The 8,279-nt window shown below is 40.9% G+C and overlaps 1 annotated feature.

Annotated features, from left to right (window-relative positions):
* Positions 4,091-4,610: an enhancer, noted in NCBI's record as "OCT4-NANOG hESC enhancer chr6:145190998-145191517 (GRCh37/hg19 assembly coordinates)". NCBI's record gives its function as "activates a minimal SCP1, AML or CMV promoter by ChIP-STARR-seq in primed H9 embryonic stem cells {active_cell/tissue: H9 hESC(primed)}" and the evidence as "EXISTENCE:reporter gene assay evidence [ECO:0000049][PMID:30033119]".

The following is an 8,279-nucleotide window of genomic DNA, read 5'->3' on the forward strand; positions in this document are numbered from 1 at the left end:
TGACATCTTTTTCAGACTGATCCCACTGGACTCATGACTTATGACTCAGCTGGTCCTGTGGCCCCACTCAGAGGTGCACTTAGTGCATGAGGACTGTTTGCCATACCCCTATTTCATCCCAAACCGACAAGCAGCAGCCATTCCCTAGCCCTCTGTCCACCAACTTGTCCAAAGATACCCTAACTTTTGATCCTTCAGAGAGACTGGTTTGAGTGATAACTCCAGTTCTCCCATGTAGGCCAGTCACGCATCAATTAAACTCTTTCTCTACTGCAACACCATGATATTGGTCAATTGGTTTTCTCTGTGTACTGGGTGAGAAGAATCCATCAGGTGATTACATGTTGGATAAGAACAAAATGACAGGAACATTTAAAGTCATTGAGGTTGCGATTGAAGACTTGTGAAGAGTAGGAGAGTGTCTCAATAACTTCCTTGGCCACAATAGTTAGAGTATTGTTGTTTTTTCCAGGAGAAACCAAACAGGTACTGACTATTTTGACCTAAAGGGACACTAAAACAAACAGAATGCAGACTTGCTACTGTAAAATTGTTAGCCTCAGAAGCCACATAAAATAAAATAGTATCTGAGTTTGCCACTACAAGGTAACAGGGAATAACTATCCCGATATCTTCAACAAATATGTGTATATATATTTGTGTGTGTGTATATATATGTGTGTGTGTGTGTGTGTGTGTGTGTGTGTATGCGGGTATATATATATGTGTGTGTATATATATGTGTGTATAAATATATGTGTGTGTGTATATATATATCCCCAAGGGTCCTCCTATTCATAATAATTGCATAGCTAATTTGAATATTGATTTACCAATGTCTGTGTATCTCAATGAAGCCCACATTGCAGATCTGAAGGAGGTATCAGCGTTTAACCAACAAATGTTCTAGCATTTGTAGACAGCATTATTGGGGCTGAGCCCATCAAGGTTAAGGCTGTGCCATTTAAACCTCAACTCAAACTTGTACAATATCCTCTTAACCAGAGGTTAAAGAACGATTATAACCAATAGTCAAAAGCCTGAGAAAGGACTCATCGTACATTGCAGCATTCCTTATAATATTCTTATCATCCCTGTTAAAAACCCAGAAGACACACACAGCCCCCACCGCCACACACACACACATGCACACAAACACACCTATGTGTATATACACATCCGAGGGTGACATTTATGGACTGGAACACAAGGAATGTCTGACAATTGTTAGAGACACCCACCACCTGAGTAGTTTGTTCACATCAAAAGTGAGGTTGCATAACAGAGACAGAGTTTCAGTTTAATAGCAGCATCTCTATCAATACAACAAATTGCAAGGTTTCCCTTTAATGTTTAGAGAAATTTCTCCTTGTGAGTTTCAGGGTAAAACAGGAAATTCAGTGTTTGCTTCCTCCTTGGAGTACCCTCATTGATCATCCACTTTATTTTTCTCCTGTAGTTTCTTAGCAAACACAAAACTATTCTTTTTCCAATGTCTTTCTGCTTACAGTAACTACCCATGACTTCATCAGAAGCTCCCTTTGCCCATATAAAATGATGGGTATGGGAGCTTCTAGATGTATTTTTTTTTTTCCTGTAAAGCCATAAATTTATCCTGAGTATTATTCTGTTTTTGGAGTAAGCCTTTTTCAAAATGTTCAATGAGGGATTGAAAGCCTGATAAAAGAACTATTTCCCAGTCCCACTTTCACTTTCAGATTAGATCCCCTATTTCTAGTGTTGATGAAAAGAGTCAAACTCTGTAAAATATTTGTAGAGATTTATTCTGACCCAAATATGAGTGACCACAGCCTGTGACACAGCCCCCGGAGATCCTGAAAACATGTGCTCAAGGTAGTCAGGCAACAGATTGGTTTTACACATTTTAGGGAGACATAAGACATCAATCAATACATGTAAGATGTACATTGTTTCGTTCCAGAAAGGTAGCACAACTGGAAGCAGGGCCTTCCAGGTCATAGGTGGATTCAAAGATTTTCTGATGGGCAGTTGGTTGAAAAAGTTTATCTAAAGACCTAGAACCAATAGAAGGGATTGTTGGGGTTAAGATGAGTGGTTATAGAGACCATGGTTCTTATTATACAGATGAAGTCTCCAGAGAGAATAGATTGTAAAAATTTCTTATCAGACTTGAAAAGATGCCAGACTCTTAGTTAATTCTCGCCTGGATCAGGAAAAAGACTTGGAAAGGGAAAGGAATTCTCTACAGCACATAAAATTTCCCCACAAGAGACAGCTTTGCAGGGCAATTTCAAAATATGTCAAAGAAATATATTTGGGGTTAAAATACTTTGATTTCTATCAGGGCCTGCTATCTGTCGTATTGGTATTTTACTGCTACAAAGAGTCTGTTTTGCCAGTCTTAAGGTCTCTTTTAATGTTAATGCTAATCAGCTGTGCCTGAATTCCAACAGGCGAAGGATGTAATGAGACATATCTGACGCTCTCTTTCCCATCATGGCCTGAAGTACTGTTCAGGTTTACTTTAGGATGCCCTTGGCTGAGAGGAGGGGTCCATTCAAGCTGGTTGGGGGGCTTAGAATTTTATTTTTGATTTACTCTAGTTTAAGACTATTGACAAAAAGTGGGGAGTGTAGGGGAGGAAAAATCTTTCCTTCTACATTTTTCAGTTCTCAGCTGGGCATTTTGTTACAAAAGACAGATTAACAAGAGAAAAACCAAGCAAGGTTTGTTTACATGTATATTTCATACATACATGGGACAAAGTCTGGGAAGACTAATTCTAACAGGTGTTTAGAACTTGGGCTTTAATATCTTCTTTAGCTAAAACAAAGAAAGATGGGTTTGAGGGAGGCAAGTTTTGGAACGATGACCAGAAATGGCATGGTAAACACGAGTAAGATTTGTTATGCAGATTTAATTCCCAGACTTCTCCATTGGTGACAGTCTGACAGTCTCTTGTGATGTAGGTTATACTTCTCTTCCTGGTACAGAGAGGGAAACACGCTTAGATATGGAGATTTTACCTATATATGTAAATCTTCCTTTCAAAGGGTAACTGGTAATTCTATTTTCAGAGCTTCTCCTGTGTCTAACTTTTCTAAAAATATCAGCTCAAAATAACCCTTATGGTCAAGAGGCATACAGATGATCTTTGATTTACAATAGGGGTTCATCTCGTTAAACTCATTGTAAGTTGAAAGTGTCCTAAGTCAAAAATCCATCTAATACACCTCACCTACTGAACATCATAGATTAGCCTGGCCTACCTAAACGTGCTCATAACACTTACATTAGCCTAGAGTTGAGTAAAATTATCTAACACAAAGCCTATTTTATAATAAAGTGTTGAATACCTTCTGTAATTTATTGAATATTGTACTGAAAGGGAAAAACAGAATGGCTGTATGGGTACTAGAAGTACAGTATCTATTGAATGTGTATCACTTTTGCACCATTGTAAAGTCCAAAAATCATAAGTAGAACCAATGTAAGTCAGGGACTGTCTGCATTGGGGGTGGTATATTCTAATCTCCTACAGTCATACTTCAGGGTGGCATTTTCTGGCCACCTACAGTCACAAAGCTGATGGACATCTACCTTGGGATATACCCCTGCATTCTGTCTAAAGGTGGTAAAGAACCTGCCATTGAAGTATAAAATAAACTCATCCTTTCTCTGCCTACAGTTCTATCAGAGTCCAGCCTATTTTCACAAGAAAGCTTTTGGGGATAGCCTCCAAAAGACTGTGTTCAACACCTCTAGCTTTTTAAAAAACCCTCTAGATTCCTATGCAATTGAGGCTATTTTGGGGTTACCCTTGAGATCTTCCTGTTCTGCCTATTCTTTTAATTTTCTGCATCTGAATTTCCACTAATCACTTAGTTAATTGGTACAGAACTGGACACACTGGCTTGTTTGTTTCTAAAACTATTCTACATTCCTCTGCAAATTTCTAGGCTTTAGAAACTTTCTGAAAATGGCTGTCAGCTCAGACTGAGACCAGAACTCAAAATCAACCATAAGAAGTGAAGGAAACCAAAGTATTTCACCCCAAAATGTGGCTTCCTGGTATAATGTGTATTTGGATTTTTCATGCGTGTCCATGTGAAGAGACCACCAAACAGGCTTTGTGTGAGCAATAAAGCTGTTTATTTCACCTGGGGGCAGGTGGGTTGAGTCCGAAAAGAGAGTCAGCGAAGGGAGATAGGGGTGGGGCCATTTTATAGGATTTGGGTAGGTAAAGGAAAATTACAGTCAAAGGGGGTTGTTCTCTGGCGGGCAGAGTGGGGGTCACAAGGTACTCAGTGGCAGAGCTTTTGAGCCAGGATGAGCCAGGAGAAGGAATTTCACAAGACAATGTCATCAGTTAAGGCAGGAACAGGCCATTTTCACTTCTTTTGTGGTGGAATGTCATCAGTTAAGGCAGGAACCGGCCATCTGGATGTGTATGTGCAGGTCACAGGGGATATGATGGCTTATCTTGGGCTCAGAGGCCAGACAGGATTAAAGGTCATTAAAGGACAAGAGTGGTGGCTCATGCCTGTAATCCCAGCACTTTGGGAGGCCCAGGTGTGCAGATCATTTGAGGTCAGGAGTTTAAGACCAGCCTGACCAACATGTTGAAACCTCATCTCCACTAAAAATACAAAAAAATTAGCTGGGCGTGGTGGTGCATGCCTGTAGTTCCAACTACTCAGGAGGCCAAGGCAGGAGAATCACTTGAACCCAGGTGGCAGAGATTGTAGTGAGCTGAGATCATGCCACTGCACTGCAGCCTGGGTGACAGAGTGAGACTTCATCTCAAAAATAAATAAATAAAGACCCTTCAAGTTCAACAGATGCCAGAAGAGACTTCTGCCCATCTATATAAAGACCAGAGGGTCGAACCAAGGAGGACAATTATTTTTCTTCCCCTCCTTGTTATTTCATCTCATTATTTCCCGCAGAAAAAGAGACTGAAGAATGTAACCACACCTGGACAGACTCTTTCACAAGATAATGTCTGTCTCTCAGGCTCATTCAATTTTCAAAGAGAACCATTTATAAATTAACCTCTGTTCCCCAACCCATTCATTCTCCCTAGTAATCATTCATTGACCCTCATCAGCATTACTTTTATTCCCTTCCTACACCCTGCCCTCTAGTAAAAGGCTATATAAGTATCTGGGTCCCACTGGAATATGTGGTTGGTAATCACTCCGTGGTCCTCCCCTATGCATGTTAATATATTTGCATGCCTTTTCTCCTTTTAATCTGCCTTTTGTTAGTTGATTTTCAGCCAGCCTTCAGAGGGTGAAGGAGAAGTTTTCCCTTGGCCGCTACAGAAGCTTTCCCTTTTCTGTGGAAAAATTTAAGAGCTGGTTGAGCTTTGGGGGTTTCTGGCTACTTGGGAGGGAAGGGCAGTGTGTCAGACAGAGAGATAGGAGCAGAGGGAAATGGGGGTGTGTAGTGCAGTGGAAAAGCAATGGCACGATAAAGGCATTAGGTTCATCATGTGATTTGAGAGTATCGAAAAGGGAGATTGTTTTATGTTTTTCACATTTTCTTATGTTTTGGCCAAGAATGTTCTTAGGCAAACAATTTTGAAATTGGAATTCCTTTTAAATGCTTCCTTATACCAATAAAAATTTACAGACAATTGGATGTTTGAAATTTTGGTTCCCATTAATTCTAAGGTTGCTTGTAAATGAACAATTTTGATTATATCAAACTTCTCCCAAAATGACCATTGTACAGTCTGCCCCCCATACCCACAGGTTTCAAGACTGTTGGTTCCACATCTGTGGATCCAGCCAACCACAGGGAGAAAATATCTGAAAAATATAGCATTAAAAAGTACAATAAAATTAATATAGTCCAGGTGTGGTGGCTCACACTTGTAATATCAACACTTTGGGAGGCTGAGGTGGGAGGATCGCTTGAGCTGAGGAGTTTGAGACCAGCCTGGGTAACATGGTGAAATCCTGTTTCTACAAAAAGTACAAAAATTGGCTGGGCATGGTGGTGTGCATCTGTAGTCTCAGCTACTGTGGAAGCTGAGGTGGGGGGATCACTTGAACCTGGGAGGTGGGTAGTATAAAAACTATTTACATAGCATTTACATTGTATTAGGTATTATAAGTAGTTTAGAGATTAAAATTTTACAGGAGGATGTGCATTGGCTATATGAAATAGTAGACCCTTTTAAATAAGGTACTTGAGCATCTGTGGATTTTTTTATCTGCAGGGTCCTGGAATCAACCACCACAGACCAAGGAACAAATATAATGATAAATTATCCTTGGGGAATATGACATTTTGAAAACTAAACTCATGATCTGAAGTTGGAATGTAAGAAATCTGAGGCAGATTTCTTACACTCAAACTACAGAATTGGCCCAGATGTTACCAGAAAGGGTCCCAATCCAGAACTCAAGAGAAGGTTCTTGGACCTTGTGCAAGAAATAATTTGGGGCCAGGCTATAGAGTAAAATGAATAAAAGAATAGCTACTCCATAGGCAGAGTGGCGGCATGGTCTTCTCAACTGACTATACTTACAGTTATTTCTTGATGATATGCTAAACAAGGGGTGGATTATTCATGAGTTTTCTGGGAAAGAGGTGGGCAATTCCCAGAACTGAGGGTTCCTCCCCCTTTTAGATCATACAGGGTAACTTCTGGATGTTGCCATGGCATTTGTAAACTGTCATGGCACTGGTGGGAGTGTCTTTTAGCATGCTAATATATTATAATTAGCATATAACAAGGAGTGAGAATGACCAGAGGTCACTTTCATCACTATCTTGGTTTTGGTTGACTTCTTTACCATGTCCTGTTTTATCAGCAGGGTTTTTGTGACTTGTAAATTGTGCTGACCTCCTATCCCATCTTGCGACTAAGAATGCCTTACCTAGGCCAGGCACAGTGGCTCACGTCTGTAATCACAGCTCTTCAGGAGGCTGAGGCAGGCAGATCACTTGAGGTCAGGAGTTCAAGACCATCCTGGCCAACATGGTGAAACCCCTTCTGTACTAAAAACACAAAAATATTTAGCCAGATGTGATGATGCACACCTGTAGTCCCAGCTACTTGGGAGGCTGAGACATGAGAATCATTTGAACCTGGGAGGCAGAGGCTGCAGTGAACCAAGATCTTAGCACTGCAATCCAGCCTGAGTGACAGAGTGAGATTCTGCCAAAAATAAATAAATAAATAAATAAATAAATAATAATCCCTAATCTCCTGGGAATGCAGCCCAGTAGGTCTCAGCCTTATTTTACCCAGCTCCTATTCAAGATGGAGTTGCTCTGGTTCACATGCCTCTGACACAGATGAGATGCGGACAGACAGTTATGTGACTGAGACAAACCCTGGGAATCTTGGAACTGTTGGTCAAAGTGTAGTTTGTGTATCTCATGGCTCAAGCCTCCCAGCCTAAAGGCCAGACTGTCTTGACTGCAAACCTGACTAATTAGGGAATACAGAAAGGCTTGGAGAAAAGAACTTTTCCAGAATTAGACTTCTGTGGACAAAACAAGATGAGACTAGGGAAAGTTCTCATAAGGTTTGTGTAGTGATCTGGGACAAAGTTTGTTCAAACAACAAAACTGAAAACACCTTTGCAAAGATGATGACAGTGAGAGAAGTTTAGTGTGGCTGACTGCACCTTGCTTCCAGCCTCATAGGCTGGCTGTCCTTGTTCATCCCTGGGCATAGGCCAAGCTAACTACGGGAGGAATTTAGTTGCTAGTTTAACTGTACAGCAGGGATGATAATAGTCCTTCCCTAAAACTGATACCCTCCTTGTTCAGGGACTGAATTTCCCTTCGTAAAACTAATGAAAGGCCACAAGATTAGGGTTATGGAAGAGGCCTGAATTCTGTTAAAATGTAGGTGTAGTTAAATGATAACTAGCCTTTGTCTCCTAACTTGCTTTTCTACAATCCCTTACTGCTCAGAGTCATGTGGGCAGAGGTCACAAGATTTGTGACTTTGCCAGTTGATCCTACATATAACATCATGATTGTAGAACCTAATACTGGTATTTTGAGATGTATTTCAGACTTTTGCATTCTGGCAACTGACTGACCCCATCAGGACTTGTGACTCATGACTTCATGGTTCCTGTCCCCACCCCCAACCACCAACCAGAGGTCAACTCAGAGTGCAAGGACATTTTCCACACCCTTATGGTTCATCCCCAACCAATCAGCAGCGCCTATTCTCTAGCCCCCTGCCCACCAAATTATCCATAAAAGCCCTGGTCTCTGAGCTCCTGGGGAGACTGATTTGAGCAATAACTCCAGTCCTTTGG

The sequence above is a fragment of the Homo sapiens genome, chromosome 6 (genome assembly GCF_000001405.40).
Source record: "Homo sapiens chromosome 6, GRCh38.p14 Primary Assembly".
Classification (NCBI taxonomy): Eukaryota; Metazoa; Chordata; class Mammalia; order Primates; family Hominidae; genus Homo; species Homo sapiens.